The 23113-nt window shown below is 37.4% G+C and overlaps 1 long non-coding RNA gene across 1 annotated transcript in view, besides 2 other annotated features; it reads left to right on the plus strand.

Moving 5' to 3' along the window:
* Positions 1–19866, plus strand: part of SATB1-AS1 (SATB1 antisense RNA 1) — an 84878-nt gene extending 65012 nt beyond the window's left edge. The window contains exons 5-7 of the long non-coding RNA NR_125803.1: positions 16139–16292; positions 16926–17078; positions 19733–19866. This is a non-coding gene — a long non-coding RNA (SATB1 antisense RNA 1). The remainder of the gene's footprint in view (positions 1–16138; positions 16293–16925; positions 17079–19732) is intronic.
* Positions 5522–6046: an enhancer, noted in NCBI's record as "H3K27ac hESC enhancer chr3:18557262-18557786 (GRCh37/hg19 assembly coordinates)". NCBI's record gives its function as "activates a minimal SCP1, AML or CMV promoter by ChIP-STARR-seq in primed H9 embryonic stem cells {active_cell/tissue: H9 hESC(primed)}" and the evidence as "EXISTENCE:reporter gene assay evidence [ECO:0000049][PMID:30033119]".
* Positions 6047–6569: an enhancer, noted in NCBI's record as "NANOG-H3K27ac hESC enhancer chr3:18557787-18558309 (GRCh37/hg19 assembly coordinates)". NCBI's record gives its function as "activates a minimal SCP1, AML or CMV promoter by ChIP-STARR-seq in naive and primed H9 embryonic stem cells {active_cell/tissue: H9 hESC(naive and primed)}" and the evidence as "EXISTENCE:reporter gene assay evidence [ECO:0000049][PMID:30033119]".
* Positions 19867–23113: the final 3247 nt, after the last annotated feature.

Consider the following 23113-nt stretch of genomic DNA (forward strand, 5'->3'; position numbering starts at 1 on the left):
AGTTGATCAGTGACCTTCAGAATAACTTCAGAATATCTGTTGAGCACAAGTCTGAAGTAACCCAAAACAGCTTATCAACCTCTATGGATTAAATAAAACAATGTGCTCCTGTGTAAGTAACTTGTTTGAAAGCAAGCTGGAGTGAGGGAGCTAGATATTGAGAGTTCTAAGTTCCTTACCATCACCTTCTTGCACACTAAAGTATTGAAAGAATGTAATATTCAAAACAGGCAAGCAAACAAACAAATAGAACATCATCTGAATAGATTATATGTAACAGTCTTCAATGGAAACCATGACAACAGGGAAAAGAGGCCTTGTAAAAAAATTGTGTGTGTGCTTCTGCTCTGCTTTCTCAATGTATTTATCATGTCATGGCCTTGGCAAGAACAAGAGGTAGAGATAAATAAATAACTGATTTCTCATCTTTTGGAAAAAAACAAAACTGGCCTAATGTAAATGGATAAAAGTCCTCTCTGTAGTTGTCAATTTAAACGTAAAGCCCCAATTTAAAAAAAAAGTGAATGGTGTTGCAGTTGTGTGGGTGGATTTGGTAGGGAGTTTAATTTTGCTACAGAGTGGAGTTTAATCTTTGCTAAAGAAAAGTATATCCCTTTGATTTTTTTAGAATGCCCCAAGGTCCGTCTGATTTAAACTAGTATTGGAAAAAGGGAAGAGAGATGGAAGGGAGTGATCAAAGTTGGAAAACGATAGAACTTCCCCCCATGAAACACAAGAAAGGTGAATACAGGTGAAAAATAAAGATAGTGCTGCTCCACATGTTTGGAATTGCATTTTTGGTAGTCTCAACTAACCGAAATGCAGCCACTTAGAGAAGGCTGTCACGAAGCTTATGTAGTATAGGATAGGTGTGGGACTGCCCCTCAGGGCAGAGGGGAACATTAAACATACTGATTCCTGTTGGTTATTTGATTTCCTCTTTGAGGTTAGTGACAGAAAACTTACTTTTTAATTTGTGACCTATCTAGGAGTGGGGTACAAAGGAGAGAATAGAAACAAAGAGATAATCCATGAGAAGAACAATATACTTAAGTCCCTTAATGACCCCATTGGGAGTGATGTGGTTGGCTTGATACTGATGTTCAATAGACACCTCCCCCTCCCATCTTCAGTCGTCTTTAGCTCTAAAATCTCTGTGGTCGAACTTTTGAGATAGGCTGATGTGCCACCACATATGCCATGACCCAAGGGACTGGCTGGCAATTACTCTGGATGCTTCTTGAAGGTTCTTCATTGTTCTTGCCCTTAACCTGCCTCTGTAGGATCTCAACTTTTCTCTTCCCGCTCCAGCTGCACTATGTATCCGTGCTTGGCTCTCAGTTGTTGGATTCTCATGTCTCCTTTTTCACAGTGGCTCAGGTAAGGGGACTTGTTGCAACATCTCGAGATGCTGTCTTTAGTCCTAGCTCTCTTGGAAGAGAGGAAAGGAGATGAGACATACTGAAACCACATTTTCTTGATGTTGAGCAGAATCCAGTTCACAGACTAGAAAATGTTTTATTCCTTGTAGGCTCAGCAGTACAGAAACAAGGTGGGGAAAGGAAAACAATTTCTAAAGAGTGAATTATTATGAATTATCTTATAAATGCCCATGCCACCTGCTTTACTTCTCATAATTCACTAAACCTCCTTTACTTCTCATAATTCACTAAATTCACTATGCTCTGCATTTCATCTGTGGTGTGATGAGTTAAAATTGCCTTGTTGGGAATTTTTTCAGAACATTTGTCCACTTGAACAAAAATCAATATTCTGTCTCTTAAACAGAAGCATTTGAACAAGTTGCACTATGCGGAGGTGAGAACAATAATTATATTGGTACATGTCTTAAAAATTACCCAGAAGCAGATGAGAATTTGTGAATAAATGACTCATTAAGAAAGTGTCCCCAGAAGAAGTCAGTAAGTGAGTGGGGGCATGAGGAGAGGAAAAGGGAAGTCAAGCAAAGTGTGCTATTTTTGGCCAAGTCTTATAGTAGGGAGCTTTGGCCTAAATCTACAAGGGAAACTTAGAGCATAAATTGAGTTGTCTGCCATAAATCAACTGGGAGGAACTTAGGTTTTCATACACTTGCATTATCAGTCATAGCTAAGAACACCCAAGGGCCATGTAAACTCCCAATTACTTCTCTCACAGCCATAGGGTAATCCTCTAAAAACAGACAAATGGACAGGCCATTGGAAATAAGAGTCCTGGACCTAGGAAGAAATTCAGGAAACAGTAAAGGAATTCAGGGAAACCTAGGTGGGTCACTGCAGTGACTACTACATCATTTTAAGCATTTATTGAGCGTTTGGTGGTGCCTAGAAAGCTGTGTGTGTGTGAGTGTGTGTAGAAAGCTATTTAGTTCTCACAATACCCTTAGAATTATCTCTGTTTTACATACTAAGGAACTAAAGTGTTCAGTAATTTGGAAGAGTGTTTAAAAAAAGGTCTGCAATAGAGCCAAGATTCAAATCCTGGTCTGTCTGAAGGCCATGTCCACAGTCACGTTATTCTCTCCTTATTATACTACCTCCTGGTCAGCCTCCTAACCAAAGTAAGAGGTGAAGTGCAGAAAGGATAGGAGAACTTGGGATAGGGTAAACAGAAGAAAAAAAAAAGCAGAGATGATAAAATAGTTTGTAACTAAGAAATGTTATAGCAAATGAGTGGGGATTATTCTATGGCCAAGAGAAGGGAAGACTGAGGAAACTTACTAATGATCTTCAAGTTCATGAAAGGGTTTAACACAGAATAGATTGGCCAGCTGTGCTCAAATTTCTACATAGTGAATTTAAAAAGAAAACTATTTGCTGTTATAGCACGAGGATTTTAGGCTGGATTGAAGAAAGTGTTCTCTGGGCAAAAGGGCTATTGAGCACTAGAGTGAAATCCTATAAACTCAAATTAGAAAGAAAAGAAAACAGAAAAGAAAAGAGAAAAATAAAAGAAAAGAAAAGAAAAGATGTGAGCACAGTCTGTCATGCTGTGCAAATGTATGAGATGTTACCTTGAACACAGCTGCTTCACACCTGCAACCTTCCACAGAGGGAGAGCCGTGAATTAAAAAAATAAAGCAGCGAACTTCATTGTAGCTGAGGATGCCAGGAAACCTGATGGCCTTCTAGAAACTATCATATTAATTGTTGTATTAGGGCAGAAACATGTACTGGTCTGGTTTAGTAGTTTGCTTCTTAATGCGAACTCTCTTTTTCACTTTTGTCCTTTCTCCCCCAAAGACAAACATTTCCAAGACATTATGTATATGTAAAAGAGCATTTTATGTAGAAGTACAAGAAATAACATTTGGTGATGCAACAATGTGGCACAGAGTCAATGACTGTTTAGATAGCAAACGGAATGGACTTTGACGGTACCTTGTGAAGTGGCACATATCATTGAATAATCTATTGTTTTGATGTCCTCTATGCACCCATAGACCCTGCCCCTGAAAATTTTCTGCATAACCAATTTAGATTTATGTATATATATATACACACACACATATATACACACATATCTCTATATATATACACACATACATATAGATATATATACATAAACACTCTCAATGATGTGTTGAGATGGTATGTACTGCAGCCAGACTTTAAACTAGCTCATTATTTTATAATGGGGTGTATACTAAAAATTTATTTTGAAGTCACTTACAAATGTGTTTTCCCCATCAACATTCTGCTGTAGATGTCATTATTTGGGGGCAGAATATCACTGTAATCACACCAAATTTACCTGTGAAGTTACTATTTTCCAGCTACACTGTAGACTAAATTAATAGTTCTGAGTTACTGGAGAAACTCGATCACCAGATCACTATTTCTCTGGAAAAAAATGAATTCCATTTTGAATTTGGAACTCCAGAAATATTTCCATCCTAATGTGCCTCTCAGTAGAGGTTTGTCAGAGGGTTTTCCACACATTGGGTAAAGCCAATTGTCAAAAGTCAAATGTTCCCTGAAATTGCTTTTCCTTTAACCAGAGTGGTGACTTGTGCTCTGTGAAAGAGAATTTTCCTTCCTTCCATTTTAATAGCAGGCTTTCATAGGATTGAAGAATTTGTACAAGAGCAACAATTATTATTAGCACCTACTATGTATTGGACACTATATTATTCATTGTATATATATTATCTTATGTAGCCTCCATAACAACCTTGGGATGTTATATTATTATCACCATTCTACAGAAGAGGAAATAGATGTAAAGAAGTCAGCTTGCTGGAAGTCCTATAAATAATAAATGATAGAATTGGGTTGTGCTGTGGTTTGAATGTCTCCTCCCAAATTAATGTTAAAATTTAATTGCCATTGTAACAGTATTAAGAGGTAGGACTGGTAAGAGGTAGATTAGGCCATGAGAGCTTCACCCTCATGAATGGATTAATCCAGCTTTCACAGGAGTGAGATCATTATAAAAGGCCAAATTTGGTCCTCTTTGTCGCTTGCCCTCTCTTGCCCTTCTGCCTTCCACCATGGGATAATGCCACAAGAAGGCCCTAATCAGATGCCAGCTCCTCAATCTTGGACTTAGCCTATGGAACTGTGATAAATATTTTTTCTCTTTAGAAATTACTCAGATACTGGTATTTTGTTATAGCAGCACAAAACAATCTAAGACAGGTTGTGAACTCTGGACTGACTGACCCTAAATTCAAGAGCCTTTTCATGGATGTTGTGGTGGACGTTTGTTGGTTGTGTGCCTGACATCCATTCTCCCTTACCATTATTTTCCTTTGGAAAATTTTACCTTCACTACCTGTCCCCCATACCACACCACATCACAGACATTTAGTTTGTATGGAATTGACCCCACTGCCTGTCTTAGGAGTGAGCCCAGATTGACTTAGGCCAACCACTATATTATATTCCTCTCCCTCATTTCCCCCTCCCATACTGCCTGGCTCAGAGATAAGTAGGTAGCTCAATCAGAGCCAATGAGATAGAAGGAGATATTTCCTTGTCACCTTGGAAGGAGAAGCTCCCTTCTTTAACTGTGTTGCAAAAGAATGTGAGTTCTGAAGTGGTGGAAACATTTTTTTACCTATAGGAGACAGCCTGTTTCTGGTGTGGCAACCACTGTGTAGAGCCTTAGTTTGAAGCCACTGGGGCAGAAGACAGAGGGAATCCAGGGTCAAAACAACAACTTTTGGACTCCTGGGTCAACCCTTATCTGAAGTAAGAGCGGCTTCTGGGCTCAATTGTAAACATATTTGCTCAAACAACAACTTGTAGTTTGAGCCACGTTATGGGGTTCGTGTCAATTTCAACATAAAGAGTTGTAAGTAACACAGGCACTCCCCAGGACTATTCCTTCATTAAAAACATTTACATCTTCCAAATCTCTGGTATGATGAGACTTGACTTCCACAATCACACTCCTGAAACAATTCAGCAACCTAATTAATCAAATAAGATTACATTCAGGCTATTCTCCTTGCTAAGTGAAAAAACTTGCCCACTTAAAATTTACGAAGATTCTGAGCAATACAGAATAAAAACAAAGAATGTTTTGGTTAATGATTTTAAGGTAGGCAGAAAAAAACTAATTAAACGATGCCTTTTTCTGATAATTCTAGTTAATTGGAGTTTTAATTCCAGTAGGAATAATAAAAACTGGGGTCTAAGTTTGGTAAGTAAAGTTTTCAAATTATTTATATTTGCTTAATTTAGAAAAATGTATGTACACATTCATTTCCCTGTGAGACATTAAAATATATGAACATAGATTAAGCAAAATATATTTTCCTTTATTGTGATAATTCCTTGTTATCTCCAGTCTTTCCCCCAAATGTGATAAGAATACATAGCTACAGAGGGAGGAGCCAAGATGGCCGAATAGGAACAGCTCCAGTCTACAGCTCCCAGCCTGAGGGACGCAGAAGATGGGTGATTTCTGCATTTCCATCTGAGGTACCGGGTTCATCTCACTAGGGAGTGACAGACAGTGGGCGCAGGTCAGTGGGTGCGCACACTGTGCTCGAGCCGAAGCAGGGTGAGGCATTGCCTCACTCGAGAAGCGCAAGGGGTCAGGGAGTTCCCTTTCCTAATCAAAGAAAGGGGTGACGGATGGCACCTGGAAAATCGGGTCACTCCCACCGGAATACTGCGCTTTTCCGATGGGCTTAAAAAACGGCGCATCACAAGATTATATCCCTCACCTGGCTTGGAGGGTCCTACCCCACGGAGTCTCGCTGATTGCTAGCACAGCAGTCTGAGATCAAACTGCAAGGTGGCAGCGAGGCTGGGGGAGGGGCGCCTGCCATTGCCCAGGCTTGCTTAGGTAAACAAAGCAGCGGGGAAGCTCGAACTGGGTGGAGCCCACCACAGCTCAAGGAGGCCTGCCTGCCTCTGTAGGCTCCACCTCTGGGGGCAGGGCACAGACAAACAAAAAGACAGCAGTAACCTCTGCAGACTTAAATGTCCCTGTCTGACAGCTTTCAAAAGAGCAGGGGTTCTCCCAGTAGGCAGCTGGAGATCTGAGAATGGGCAGACTGCCTCCTCAAGTGGGTCCCTGACCCCTGACCCCCGAGCAGCCTAACTGGGAGGCACCCTCCAGCAGGGGCACACTGACATCTCACACTGCAGGGTACTCCAACAGACCTGCAGCTGAGGGTCCTGTCTGTTAGAAGGAAAACTAACAAACAGAAAGGACATCCACACCAAAAACCCATCTGTACATCACCATCATCAAAGACCAAAAGTAGATAAAACCACAAAGATGGGGAAAAAACAGAACAGAAAAACTGGAAACTCTAAAAAGCAGAGCACCTCTCCTCCTCCAAAGGAACACAGCTCCTCACCAGCAACAGAACAAAGCTGGACAGAGAATGACTTTGACGAGCTGAGAGAAGAAGGCTTCAGACGATCAAATTACTCTGAGCTACAGGAGGACATTCAAACCAAAGGCAAAGAAGTTGAAAACTTTGAAAAAAATTTAGAAGAATGTATAACTAGAATAACCAATACAGAGAAGTGCTTAAAGGAGCTGATGGAGCTGAAAACCAAGGCTCGAGAACTACGTGAAGAATGCAGAAGCCTCAGGAGCCGATGCGATCAACTGGAAGAAAAGGTATCAGCGATGGAAGATGAAATGAATGAAATGAAACGAGAAGGAAAGTTTAGAGAAAAAAGAATAAAAAGAAACGAGCAAAGCCTCCAAGAAATATGGGACTATGTGAAAAGACCAAATCTACGTCTGATTGGTGTACCTGAAAGTGATGGGGAGAATGGAACCAAGTTGGAAAACACTCTGCAGGATATTATCCAGGAGAATTTCCCCAATCTAGCAAGGCAGGCCAACGTTCAGATTCAGGAAATACAGAGAACGCCACAAAGATACTCCTCGAGAAGAGCAACTCCAAGACACATAATCGTCAGATTCACCAAAGTTGAAATGAAGGAAAAAATGTTAAGGGCAGCCAGAGAGAAAGGTCGGGTTACCCTCAAAGGGAAGCCCATCAGACTAACAGCGGATCTCTCGGCAGAAACCCTACAAGCCAGAAGAGAGTGGGGACCAATATTCAACATTCTTAAAGAAAAGAATTTTCAACCCAGAATTTCATATCCAGCCAAACTAAGCTTCATAAGTGAAGGAGAAATAAAATACTTTACAGACAAGCAAATGCTGAGAGATTTTGTCACCACCAGGCCTGCCCTAGAAGAGCTCCTGAAGGAAGCGCTAAACATGGAAAGGAACAACCGGTACGAGCCGCTGCAAAATCATGCCAAAATGTAAAGACCATCGAGACTAGGAAGAAACTGCATCAACTAACGAGCAAAATCACCAGCTAACATCATAATGACAGGATCAAATTCACACATAACACTATTAACTTTAAATGTAAATGGACTAAATGCTCCAATTAAAAGACACAGACTGGCAAATTGGATAAAGAGTCAAGACCCATCAGTGTGCTGTATTCAGGAAACCCATCTCACGTGCAGAGACACACATAGGCTCAAAATAAAGGGATGGAGGAAGGTCTACCAAGCAAATGGAAAACAAAAAAAGGCAGGGGTTGCAATCCTAGTCTCTGATAAAACAGACTTTAAACCAACAAAGATCAAAAGAGACAAAGAAGGCCATTACATAATGGTAAAGGGATCAATTCAACAAGAAGAGCTAACTATCCTAAATATATATGCACCCAATACAGGAGCACCCAGATTCATAAAGCAAGTCCTGAGTGACCTACAAAGAGACTTAGACTCCCACACATTAATAATGGGAGACTTTAACACCCCACTGTCAACATTAGACAGATCAACGAGACAGAAAGTCAACAAGGATACCCAGGAATTGAACTCAGCTCTGCACCAAGCGGACCTAATAGACATCTACAGAACTCTCCACCCCAAATCAACAGAATATACATTTTTTTCAGCACCACACCACACCTATTCCAAAATTGACCACATACTTGGAAGTAAAGCTCTCCTCAGCAAATGTAAAAGAACAGAAATTATAAAAAACTATCTCTCAGACCACAGTGCAGTCAAACTAGAACTCAGGATTAAGAATCTCACTCAAAACCGCTCAACTACATGGAAACTGAAAAACCTGCTCCTGAATGACTACTGGGTACATAACGAAATGAAGGCAGAAATGAAGATGTTCTTTGAAACCAACGAGAACAAAGACACAACATACCAGAATCTCTGGGACGCATTCAAAGCAGTGTGTAGAGGGAAATTTATAGCACTAAATGCCCACAAGAGAAAGCAGGAAAGATCCAAAATTGACACCCTAACATCACAATTAAAAGAACTAGAGAAGCAAGAGCAAACACATTCAAAAGCTAGCAGAAGGCAAGAAATAACTAAAATCAGAGCAGAACTGAAGGAAATAGAGACACAGAAAACCCTTCAAAAAATTAATGAATCCAGGAGCTGGTTTTTTTGAAAGGATCAACAAAATTGATAGACCGCCAGCAAGACTAATAAAGAAAAAAAGAGAGAAGAATCAAATAGACTCAATAAAAAATGATAAAGGGGATATCACCACCGATCCCACAGAAATACAAACTACCATCAGAGAATACTACAAACACCTCTACGCAAATAAACTAGAAAATGTAGAAGAAATGGATAAATTCCTTGACACATACACTCTCCCAAGACTAAACCAGGAAGAAGTTGAATCTCTGAATAGACCAATAACAGGATCTGAAACTGTGGCAATAATCAATAGCTTACCAACCAAAAAGAGTCCAGGACCAGATGGATTCACAGCCGAATTCTACCAGAGGTACAAGGAGGAGCTGGTACCATTCCTTCTGAAACTATTCCAATCAATAGAAAAAGAGGGAATCCTCCCTAACTCATTTTATGAGGCCAGCATCATTCTGATACCAAAGCCGGGCAGAGACACAACCAAAAAAGAGAATTTTAGACCAATATCCTTGATGAACATTGATGCAAAAATCCTCAATAAAATACTGGCAAACCGAATCCAGCACCATATCAAAAAGCTTATCCACCATGATCAAGTGGGCTTCATCCCTGGGATGCAAGGCTGGTTCAATATACACAAATCAATAAACGTAATCCAGCATATAAACAGAGCCAAAGACAAAAACCATATGATTATCTCAATAGACGCAGAAAAGGCCTTTGACAAAATTCAACAACTCTTCATGCTAAAAACTCTCAATAAATTAGGTATTGATGGGACATATTTCAAAATAATAAGAGCTATCTATGACAAACCCACAGCCAGTATCATACTGAATGGGCAAAAACTGGAAGCATTCCCTTTGAAAACGGGCAGAAGGCAGGGATGCCCTCTCTCACCACTCCTATTCAACATAGTGTTGGAAGTTCTGGCCAGGGCAATTAGGGAGGAGAAGGAAATAAAGGGTATTCAATTAGGAAAAGAGGAAGTCAAATTGTCCCTGTTTTTAGATGACATGATTGTATATCTAGAAAACCCCATTGTCTCAGCCCAAAATCTCCTTAAGCTGATAAGCAACTTCAGGGGTGATCAGCCAGCCACCTGGTGGCAGGTTGATTATATTGGACTTCTTCCATTATGGAAAGTGCAGAAGTTTGTCCTTACTGGAATATACACTTACTCCAGATATAAGTTTGCCTATCCTGCATGCAGTGCTTCTGCCAAGACTACCATCTGTGGACTCACGTAATGCCTTATCAAGTGTCATGGTATTCCACACAGCGTTGCCTCTGACCAAGGCACTCACTTTACGGCTAAAGAAGTGTGTCAGTAGGCTCATGCTCATGGAATTCGCTGGTCTTCCCATGTTCCACATCATCCTGAAGAAGACGGATTGATAGAATGTTAGAATAGCTTTTTGAAGTCACAGTTACAATGCCAACTAGGCGACGATACTTTGCAGGGCTGGCGCAAAGTTCTCCAGAAGGCTGTATATGCTCTGAATCAGCGTCCAGTGTATGGTACTCTTTCTCCCATAGCCAGGATTCGCAAGTCCAGGAATCGAGGGGTGGAAGTGGAAGTGGCACCTCTTGATCATCACCATTCACTGTCACCCCTAGGGATCCACTAGCAACAGTTTTGCTTCCTGTCCCCACAACATTGCATTCTGCTGGCCTAGAGGTCTTAGTTCCAGAGGGAGGAACACTGCCACCAGGAGACACAACAGTTCCATTAAACTGGAAGTTAGTATTGCCACCTGGAGACTTTGGGTTCCTCCTACCTTTAAGTCAACAGGCTAAGAAAGGAGTTACAGTGTTGGCTGGGGTGATTTACCTGGACTATCAAGATGAAATCATTCTACTATTCCACAATGGAGGCAAGGAAGAGTATGCATGGAACACAGGAGACCCATTAGGGCGTCTCTTAGTATTACCATGCCTGTGATTAAAGTCAATGGGAAACTACAACAGCCCAATCCAGGCAGGACTACAGATGGCCCAGACTCTTCAGGAATGAAGATTTGGGTCACACCACCAGGAAAAAAACCATGAACTATTGAGGTGCTTGCTGAAGGCAAAGAGAATACAGAATGGGTAGTAGAAGAAGGTAGTCATCAACACCAGCTACGACTACGTGACCAGTTGCAGAAATGAGGAGTGTAATTGTCATGAATATTTCCTCTTGATTTTGTTAAAATGATGTTTATGCATGTACACACTTGTACTAAGAAAAATCTTCATTTTCTTTTTCCTTTATTATGTGACATAAGATTTATTGACTTCCTATCAGCATTTAAGTATTGTTAACTTTAGGTAATAGTATCTGGGTTGAGGATTGGTGCATTTCTGGTTTTATGAAGGATAGTTCTATGAAGGATAGTTGTATTATCTTAAGCATAATTATGACCTATTAATGTGTTTATTTGAAGAGTATGTATGATCTCAGGAGATGTGTGTGGGTACAAGCTGACAAAAGGTGGACTTGTGATGGTTAATACTGAGTGTCAACTTGATTGGATTGAAGGATGCAAAGTATTGATCCTGGGTGTCTGTGAGGGTGTTGTCAAAGGAGATTAACATTTGAGTCAGTGAACTGGGAAAGGCAGACCCACTCTTAACCTGGGTGGGCACCATCTAATCAGCTTCCAGCGAATATAAAGCAGGCAGAAAAACGTGAAAAGGCTAGATGGCCCAGCCTCCCAGCCTTTCTCCTGTGCTGGATGCTTCCTGACCTCGAACGTCGGACTCCAGGTTCTTCAGTTTTGGAACTCAGACTGGCTTTTCTTGTTCCTCAGCCTGCAAATGGCCTATTGTGGTACCCTGTGATTGTGTGAGTTAATACCTAATAAACTCCCCTTTATATGTATCCAATGAGTTCTGTCCCTCTAGAGAACCCTGGGTAACACAGGATGTTACAGATAAATTTGCTATGAATATTTGTGTACAAATCTTTATATTGACAGATACTTTAATTTTCTTGGGGGAAATACTTGGAAGTAGGTTGCATGGATTATATGCATGTGTGTGTTTTGCTTTTTAAGAAACTATCAAATGGTTTTCCAAAGTAGTTGAATCATTTTACATTTCTATCATCAGTGTATGAGAGTTTCAGTTGCTCAAAATTCTTGCTAAAACCAGATGCGGTGTATTTTTTTTTAAATTAGCCATTCTAATAGGTCTATAATGTTATCTCATTGTGATTTTAACTTAATGGTGTTGAGAATCTTTTCAGGTTTATTTGCCATCTATATGTTTTCTTTGGTGAAGTGTCTGTTCAAATCTTTTGTCCATTGTTTTCTTATTATTGAATTTTAAGAATTTTAAATATATATATATAAATATATTTTGGATATAAGTCTTAAATCAGATATGTGGTTTGCAAATATTTTCTCCCAAGTATCTGGTTTGTCTTTTCATTTTGCTAGCAGTGTGTTTCAAAAAATAGAAGTTTTAAAATTATGATAATGTCCAATTTATCTATATTTTATTTTACAGATTGTGATTTTGGTATCATATCTAAGGAATCTTTACCTAATCAAAGTTGCAGAAGTTTTCTCCTAAAAGTTTTATAGGTTTAAGTTTTACATTTAGGTCTATGATTCATGTTGAGTTAATTTTATGGTGCAAGATATAGATCAAAGTTTATTTTTTTTTCTTGCATATATATATATATCCAATTATTCCAGCACCATTTGTTGAAAAGACTAATCTTTCTCTACTGAATTGCCTTTGAAACTTTGTCAAAATCATTTGTCTGTATATGTGTGGGTCTATTTCTGGACTCTCTTCTGTTCCATTTGTCTATTTGTCTATCTTTACACCAGTACCAAACTGTCTTGATTATTGTAGCTTCATAATAAGTGTTAGTTCTCTAAATTTGTTCATCTTTTTTTTTCAGAGTTGTTTTGGCTATTCTGGGTCCTTTGAATTTTTATATCAATTTTAGAATCAGTTAATTTCTACAAAAAACCCTGCTAGAATTTTAACTGGGATTGGTTTAAATGTATGGATTGGTTTGGGAAGAGTGGCTTTCTTAGCATTATTGAGTCTTTTGACTAATGAACACAATATAGGTAGAACATCACTAATCTGAAAATCTGAAATTTGAAATGCTCTAAAATCTGAAACTTTTTCGGTAATGACATGATGCCACAAGTGGAAAATTACACATCTGACACCTTTGCTTTCTTATAGTTCAATATATACAAACTTTGTTTTCTGAACAAAAGTATAAAAAATTTTGTGTAAAATTACCTTTAGGCTGTGTACATAAGGTGTATATAAAACAAATGCATTTTGTCTTTAGACTTGGGTCCCATTCCCAAGATATCTCATTATGCATATGCAAATATTCCAAATCCAAAAAAATTTACAATCCAAAACACTTCTTGTCCCAAGCATTTTGGATGAGGAATACACAACCTGTATATCTCACCATTTATTTCGGTGATCTTTAATTACTTTCAGCAATGTTTTATAGTTATTCAGTGCACAGGTCTTTTACATCTTTTGACACTTTTATTTTTAATTATTTCATATTTTTGAGGCCATTTTTAATGGCATTGTTTTCAAAATATTAACTTCTGATGGTTCATTGCTAATATATAAAATAAAATGGATTTTTATATATTGATCTTTTATCCTGCAACATTGCTTCAACTCATTTAATAATTCTAGTAGCTTATTTCAAAAATATAGATTCCAGTGGATTTTCTACATGAATAATTATGTCATTTGTGAATAAAGAGTTTTGTTTATTTCTTTTCAATCTGGATACCTTTTATTTCTTTTTCTTGCTTTATTGCATTGACAAGAAATTCCAATATAATGTGAAAGAGAAGTGGTGAGAGTGGATATCTTGCTTTGTTCCTGATCTTAGCTATTCCTTATTTTTTTTAAGCTATATTTTCATAGAAGCCCTTCATCAAGTTGAGAAAGTTCCTTTTTTAAGGCAGTAAAATTCCTTTTTTAAAGCAAATAAAGAATGTATATTGATATTTGTCAAATACTTTCTTCTACATCTATTGAGATGATCATATAGTTAATACATTTCTTTTGTTTCTTTATTATTATGGAGTACATTAATTGATTTTTTGTTGTTAAACCAACCTTGCACACTTGGTCATGATGTATTATCCTTTAACCTGGTGTTGGATTTAATTTGCTCAAATTTCAGTAACAACTTTTTCAACAATGATCGTGAGGGATGTTGGCCTGCAGTTTTCTTTTCTTGTAATATCTCTATCTGTTTTGGACATTTAATTCTGGGCTTATAGAATGAGTTGAAGAATGTCCTCTCCTTTTCAATTTTGTGCAATAATTTGTGTAGAATGGACACTGTTTCTTCCTTGAATCTTTGGTAGGATTATCAAGTGAAGCCACCTGGACCTCCGCATTTCTTTGTGGGAAATTGTATAACTATTGATTTAATTTCTTTAATAGTGGAGGGCTATTTATATTACCTAATTTTTTTCTTGAGTTAGCTTTGGTAGTTTGTATCTTTCAAAGAATTTGTCCATTGTATCTAAGTTGTAGAGTTTATTCAAATAAGGTTGTATATAATATTCCCTTAGTGTCATTTTGATATTTGTAAAATTTGCCCTGGTTTCACTTCTTTCATGCCTACTACTGACAATTTGTATCTTCCTTCTTTTTCTCTGACCAGTCTGGCTAGGGATTTATTAATTTCATCAATTTTCTCAATTTTCTCAAGACTGACATATTATTTTGCTTTTGTATGTCTCAAAAGTCTTTATTTTGCTATCATTTTTGAAATACTTTTTTTTCAGTGGGTATAGAATTCTAGAATAGTTTTTCCCTCCCAATACTTTAAAGATATTGCCCTACTGTTTTTTACTTTTGCATTGTTTGTAACAGAAATTTACTGTTACCCTTATTTCTGTTTCTGTATACATATCTTTTCCTTCTACTGCTTATAAGATTTCCTATTTATCACCCATTTTGATACATTTTATTATTCTGTGCCTTAGTATTCTTTCTTTTATGTTTCTTTTGCTTAGGGTTTGCTAAGCTTCTTATATATGTGGGTTTGTCATTTTTATCAAGTTTGGAAAATTTTCATCCATAATATCTTCAAATATTTCCCCTCCATTATGACTTCAATTACTCATGTATTAGGCTGTTTGAGTTGTCCCACACCTAACACTCTGTCCAGTTTTTAACAGTTATGTTTTCTATGTTTCATTTTGGGTTGCTTCTATTTCCATGCCTTCAAGTTCACTAATCTTTTCTTCCTCAATGTCTAATCTGCTGTTAATTCTAGAAAGTATATTTTTCATCTTATACATTTTAGTTTTAATCATTAAAAGTTTGGTTTGGATCTTTTTATGCTTTTCATGTTTTTACTTAACTTTTTGAACATATGGAATACAATTATAATAACCATTTTAATATCCTTCTCTGCTAACTCTAACATCTGTGGTTAGTTCTTAATCAGATTCAATTGATTGATTTATCTCCTCATTATATATCATATTTTCCTGTTTCTTTTGTATGTCTGGAAATTTTTGTTTGAATGCCAGACATTGTAAATTATGCCTTGTGGGATGCTATATATTTTTGTGTTCCTATAAATATTCTTGAGCTTTATTATAGGACACAGTTAAGTTACTTGGAAACAGTTTGATCTTTTCTACCCTTGTTTTTAGGCATTGCTAGGTAGACCAGAGTAGTGTTAGTCATGGGTTAATTATTCATTACTACTGAATCAAGACCCTTCAGAATACCATACTCAATGCCACATAAATCTTGAGGTTTTCCAGTCTTCCTGGTGGATGGCAGGCACTATTCTCCCCAGTGAGTGCTCACTAGGTACATTTTGGGTGGTCCTTTCTCTGGTCGTAGGTAGTATCTTTACATGAATGCATTTACCCATACTCAGAATGAGGGACATTTTGTAGAAATCTGAAGTTCTCTCTCTGCACAGCTCTTTCTTTTCTGGTAATCTGTTCTGTGAACTCAAGCTGTTTTGGTCTCCTCAGACCCTCCATTTCATTTCCTCAGCTCATAGAGTCTTCTACACTCCACCTGGGTTCCCCTCCCTGTTCTCTGGCCTGGAAACTCCCTTAAGGTAGTAAGGTAGAGGAATCACAGAGTCCACATCACTTGTTTCACATATCTGAGGGCTCAGTATCCTGCATTGCCTGGTGACTCAGTGTCTTAAAAACTATTGTTCATATATTTTGTTTATTTTTTTGTTGTTTCAGGTGGAAGAGTAAACTGTTCCTGTTTCTCCATCTTGACAGGAAGCAGAAGTTCTCCTTAGCTGATTTTTCTTCTTGCCTTATACTGGGTTCTTTAACACCAGAACAAAAATAAATAAATAAAAGAATCTTCCAGAAATTCATGAAGAGACTTCAGGTATGCAGCATAGGTGTTTGACAACTACGTAGAGCAGTGGGCCAGTCTTAATTTGTTTCATTAATCTGGTAAAAAAAGAAGGATTTGCATGAAATTCGCAATTCAGATTGCCATATTAGCCACTAAGTCAGAAGACTTGAGAGCTGAGCCTTGGAGAAACAAAATCCTTGACAGTTGTTGATGTTTTTGTAATAGGAGACTTCTATTATTTTAGCAAACAGAAAGACTACATAAAAATGTCAGAAAGAAACTACTTTTGGAGAAAAAAATAGGAACTGACTCACTAAAGGGACCTATTGGGGATAATTACCCAGAGCCTGTGGTAGATCAGGATGGCTGATTTAAAGTTATTGTTTTTGCAAATTCTGCAAAAAACAAAAAAACAAACAAAGATTTTTTTTTCTTGGCTTTAGCAATAGTGGAAAAATTTCTTCCACAGCTGTAATCTCATGTAAACTGCCAAAGTGGATTTTATTCTCTGAGTTTCTCAAGCCTCCTTTTCTCTAATACAGAGTAATATTGGCTAATGATAAAACAGTACAAACTATAATTTGAAATAGTGTTTCAATTTTCAATTTGCAGTCTGGGAATAGATCACAAGAATTTTAGTTTGTTGGTTTCCTGCTGCCGTAGGTCAGGAAAGCCTGAACTTTCTCATCCAACACCCGTTCAAGTCGGAGGATGCTGATTAATTCATGATGGAAAGGTATCAATTTCACAGCCCAGACCTCTACATTCTTGAAATGCTCTTCTCATGGGAGACATTAAATAAGCTTTGAATTAACTGTAAGTAAATAAATATTCAATTATTTGAATAGCACTATATTCTGTTTCATTAAAAATATTTCTTACTTGATTTTTCTCACCAATAAAAGTATTCAAAAATGTTTAATTCAATCATCATCACATCAAGAATTACGATATTATCTCCGAATTATATAAGTGATTTTCTGGTCATGCACATACCAGTTGTTCTTACTCTATATAAATGTACTTTTTTGTTAAAATATAATCATTTAGTTTAAAATTGAGATATCCTTGTTACTGGAGAATTTCAAATATATTTAACAACAACAATAAAAAGCTTAAATATAAATAGCAAATGTGAGTAAGCATGGGATAATTGAATGGCTTTTTATATTTTTGGAAGTCAATTCCATCTTCATAGATTAATTCTTCCAGGTTTTAATTCACATTGAGTTCTAATGGCTGACACCATTTTTCCTCCTCTGTATCTTCTTCAGAATATGGACATCTTGGGTTGTTGTGAGAATGGAGTTACCAAAGTTATAATCAGTTAAACACTAAGCAAAGTGTTATGGCAAAGTGTAGTCAAGTGCATTTCCTGTCAGATGGTCAACACCTTAAGTGCTTGAGGTTGAAGAGAATTGTTTTCATCTCTGTTGATAGGAAGAACCAATGATGTGATCCCTGGATACTGGCAATTGTTGCCCAAGAAAACCTCTCCCCTTGCTGTGGGACTGCTGGGCACCCAAATAATGCACCCAAATAATTTGATAGCTCTTGTTACACAGCTCTTCTTGGACTAAAAGGCCCTCAGCATTCCTGTCAATTTCTACACTCCTGAAGCTTCATCTGGTAATTCCCTGACTTATGCAGTACCACCCCACTCCTAGAGTGTCTTTAGAGGTGTTTGCTTTCTTCTTAAAGCTATTATCCTCTTGTTCTTCGAGGGCTTATTCTTAGGGGACTTGGAGGGCTTATTAAGCCCTAAGACTCAATCATTAGCAACCAAAAAATTAACTTCTACTCTCCCAAGGTCAGGGACAGCATAATCTTAAAATACAGTGGTTAGGGAAAATATTTGCATAACGTATTTTAAAGAATGCACAGGAAGGGAAGGCAAATATAGAGGAGGAAGATGATTTAAGAGAGTAGAGCAGAAAATATACAGCTGCCACAAAAATTTAGAATTGCAGAACCAGCTAAAGGTAGGTGTTTGTTCTGCTTACTAATAAAGCATACACCAAATACAATTATTTGGAAGCCTATAATTTTTTAGGGTAAAATTTTTTAGGTGTTCTTCTAGTCTTACCCCATTATTTTAAAGATGTAAAAACTGGATCCCAAAGAGGAGAAATGACTTGGTTAAGCTCACACAGAAACTAGAATCCTACATCCTTTGTATTGTATCAAATGCTTTTATGATTACCATATGCTGCCTTTTTAAGGCCTGTGATCTCCAGAGAGAGATTTCAGCTTTTTGATATGCCAAACTAAGGAATTCTTAGTTGGCCTTTTTTTTCTTCTTGAGTTTGTGCTTGCTTAACCTAATGAGTAGGTAATAACCCTGTGTTTCCGAATTTCTTAAATCAGACTTTTTGGGGGATGAAATTTTGTTAATGATTCTGTTAAGAAATAATGTCTTTTACACTTTCTCAGCTGAAAGGCAAGGGGATGCAGGATGGAGGTTAGAAATACACAGCTGCCATAGTCTAATTCTTATATAGATATTATTGAGTGATTAAATGATCAAGAAAACTGCCTACTGCTTCTCTTTACTTTTCTGTATTTAGCAGGAACATGACCTTTTCTTTTTGATCCATAATGAGAGAGATGAAGAGAATATGAGAGAATATATGAGAAATGAAAGTGTGCTAAGAATCCACATAATTAAACACCCAAACACTTAGTTTATCATTCAAGATCCTTCATGATCTTGCCAATCTATTTTCCCAACTATATCCCATATTATCTCCCTTTGCATACAGTTTAATCCATACACTAAATAACTTGCTATTCTTTAAATGCTTTGTTTTTCTACCTCTGCCTCTATTTTCATACTGCTTTCTCTACCTGACATTCTCTGTCCCCAAACTGTTGCTATTCAAATTTGACTTAGCTTGGGTTACCTGAGATATAGACACTGAGACAAGCTTTTAAGGTTGAGTAATTTGTTAGAGAGTAAAGGTAGGAGAATGATTAAGTGAAAGAATGAAAGAAAGTTTATTTTGGAAGAGCATGTTATCAAGACAGCTTTCAGTTCCAGGAAGCAACTGAAGCATAATCCCACAGGGAAAGCTCTTGAAGCCCAGACAAGCTATTCTGCCTTAAAGTTATCCTACCCAAGGGGTAAGGGAGCTAAGTATTTATACACCAACACTCTTCAGATATTGCTTGAGAGCTGCTCCTAGAGACATTAATTCCAGAAGCTTCCAACCTGTTGAACAGGTGGCAGAGTGAGTTTCAGCAGTGAGAGGACACCCTTAACAAAGAACTACTGGTGCTAGGAGTTGGAAGTTGGGCCAAAGGGAAACAGATGCTAACAGGGAGGTAATATGAGAGGCACTGACAGCATCTGCTACAAAACTGTCCCCAAAAGAAAAGATGGGATACAGCTGGTTATGCTGCAGTTAAAAAGCAACCAAGTATTAATGGCTTAATACCACAAAAGTTTATTTTTCACTTCTTGTTATCAGGAGACCTCTGTGGATTCTATAACTCAAAGACCCAGGCTGACGGCTGGTGGAATAGCTACCATCTCAAACATGGCGTGATGCTGCATCAGAGAGAAAAATAAGCTCTTGCATTGACAATGAAATGTCTACCCTGTAGTGACTTGTGCTTACTTCCACTCACAAGTGATTGCCCAGAGCTACTTACCTGGCTCCAATCTACCACTGGGTGTGTACTTGCAATCTACCATGTACCTAGAAGATGAGAGAAACAAATTATTAATGATGACCACACCCCAATACTAACAACAATTGCAGAAGAATCAATGACTTAAACAAAAATGTGGCCATTGAAGGAATAGAAAATATAGTGAGTTTAGTGTAAATTTAAAAGTGATTTATAAGTAACATACAAAATCCAGAAACTATAAGAAAACAGATTCACAAATATAAATATATAAAGCTTTAAAAAAGTTTAATGTAACAAAAATGGCATAAAAGGAGTCAAAAGTTTTTAAAAAATATGTTAATGCAGTAGATTAGGTGCTAATTTTCTTAATATACTAATAACTCAATAAGAGAAATTTTGTATCTAGAAGAAAATGAACATGGAAATAGGCAATTCACAGATAATGGCATTCATCTGGCGAATAAAAAAATGTGTGACATTCAGAATAAAATAAAAATGAAATACTGGTTTTCAGCCATCACTTGAGCAAAACTGCAAAGATACAATGAGACTCAGGCATTCCCATATACTGTGGATGGGAGGGCAAAGACCTTCAACCTCTAATTTTATTTCTATTTTTAAACATGTATGTTAAAATTTTAAATGCTAATGTCCTCTTGACCCAATAATCTTATGTCTAAGATTTGAATCTGGAGATAAACTTGAACAAATGCATCTAGATTTATGTATAAGTATTAATATAGTTTAGATGTGTGTTCCCACCCAAATCTCATATTGAAATGTAATCCCCAGTGTTGGAGGTGGGTCCTGGTGTGAGGTGATTGGATTATGGGGGTGAATTTCTCAGGAATGGTTTAACATCATCCCCTACGGCCCTGTCCTTGCATAGTGAGGTGAGTTCTTCTGAGATCTGGTCATTTAAAGTGTGCAGCACCTCCCCGCCTCACTCTCTCTTGCTCCTGCTTTTGCTATGTGATGTGTGAGCTACTGCTGTGCCTTACACCATGATTTGAAGCTCCCTGAGGCCTCCCCAGAAGGAGATGCTGCCATGCTTCCTGTACAGCCTGCAGAATTGTGAGGCAATTAAACCTCGTTTCTTTATAAATTACCCAGTCTCACGTATTTCTTTATGGCAATGCAATAATAGACTAATACTAATATGTTCAGTGAAACATTATTTGTCATTATAACACCCCCATCCACCAATGTCCATAGATAGGAGATTAGCTGAATGATTTATAGTACATACTTATAACGAAGTATTATACAGCCATTGAAAAGCCTGAAATAGACTTTTGTGGGCTGAAACAAAAAGCCTAGGATAGAATATTGATGAAAAATGAAATACAAAAAGCAATCTATAGTGTGATTCCACTCGTGTGTGTGTCTTGCAGATGCATAGACAATTTGTGAGCGAATACGAGAATGTTAAGAGTGGCAGCCTTTGGGGAGGGCTAATAGTTCAGGGAGATAGAGCAGGGCTGTAGAGGATGTCAATTATTTTTTGGCGATGCTCACTCACCATTCCTTGTCTTTATAAAAAAAACCCTTCTCACTCACATACATGCTTTGAAGAAGGTGCTTCATTACTTCAACTCCAGAGATGCAAGATGAGACCCAAGCCTGGTAAAAGAGCCTACCCAATTTCACTACCCACATTGACTCATCAAGGGTGTTATGAGTTGAAAGTTGGTCAAACCTGAGAGAGTTTTGGGACTTGTATGTGAGCCCCTGGGACTATAGAAAACTCTTTTCTTCTGAGTGTGAGTCTGGAGGATGTATGCTTGAACTACTCCAGCCTATGAATGTTATGAAAGAGGAAACAAAACAATGAGGAAGAAGCATAGCGGATATGTCCAGAACAGATCATTGGACATTTCAGTTAAATAAACAACAATAAACAAACAAACAAACAAACAAACAAGCAATTTTTCCCCTTAGGGAACTTTGAATTAGGACCTATCTAGATGAGTTCTTTTCCTTTATTTTAATATTATGTTCAGTTTGAATAAATATATGTAGTTTTGTAGTAAAAAGCATTTTGTAAATAAGAAGGTTCTATCCACTTTGTAATCACACTTTTAAAAAGATGCACAATAGAAAGCTTGGATATATAAACTGAGACATTTCTAAATGTAATACAAGACAGCCATTAAAAAATAATGAGGTTTATTTATGTGTATTCATGTGGAAAGATACTCTAAAAGAGTGAGAAAATATCAGGTTCCAGAAAAATCACTTAGAATACATTTTCATTTATATAAAAGAAAAAGATGTTTATATGTTTATTACAATCCAAAAAGCTATACAGCAGATTAATCAGTTCCTAAGTATGGGGTTATGGGTGGGGGACTTCACTTCCTATTTTATACACTAATGTATGTAAATATTTTATCCCCATTCTTAGGTGATAAAGACCTCAAGGATGAGTTTCATCTCATCTTTGAATTCTTCAGATCACCTGCTCATATTAGATAACAAATATATGTTTGTGGAGTAAATGAGTTTGGAAAAAAGAAAACATAAAATTAATTAAGAGGAGGATTTTACTTCATAGAATAAGGAAAATCCAGCAGTTTTGTGTGTGTTAAAGGCAAATTTCCAATATTAGCAGATCCATAGGCTTTGAAAAAATAATCAGTTCACAAGACCCACCTCCCCCAATTCTAGCTGGTCCTTTGCAGCTAGAGTTACTCAGAGAATAAGTAACATTTTATGTGTTTTTTTTTTTTAACTGGAGATTTTTTTCATAGAGGTAGTAATAGTTAGGATATTTTAGGGTTATGCTATAGTAACAAGCCCAAAATCTCGGTGGTTTCAAAAGTAAAAGTGTATTTCTTATGTTTGAAACCACTGAGATTTCATGCCACATTTCCAAAGCAAAGTAGCAGTAGTACTGTTCATTCTAGTCACTCAAGAACTCAGCAGATGAAGTCTCTGTCTCAAAATGTGCATCCACAATCACACTGGAAAGGAAAAGTCATGGCAAATTCTGCAATGTTTCTTCAAATTGTCATCTGGAGGTGACGTACACTCTTAGGTTTCATTGGACCATGCAAATCACATGAACATGTCTCACTTCAAGGAGGTAGGGAAGTGCCGTCTTACCACATGCATTTTCTGAAGAATGATAGATGAGATTTACTTCCATGCAACATTACCCACATTTACATACTTTTCAACATTCCAGTTTGGTGTCCCTTCCTTGAAGTCTA

The sequence above is a fragment of the Homo sapiens genome, chromosome 3 (assembly GCF_000001405.40).
Source record: "Homo sapiens chromosome 3, GRCh38.p14 Primary Assembly".
Lineage (NCBI taxonomy): Eukaryota > Metazoa > Chordata > Mammalia > Primates > Hominidae > Homo > Homo sapiens.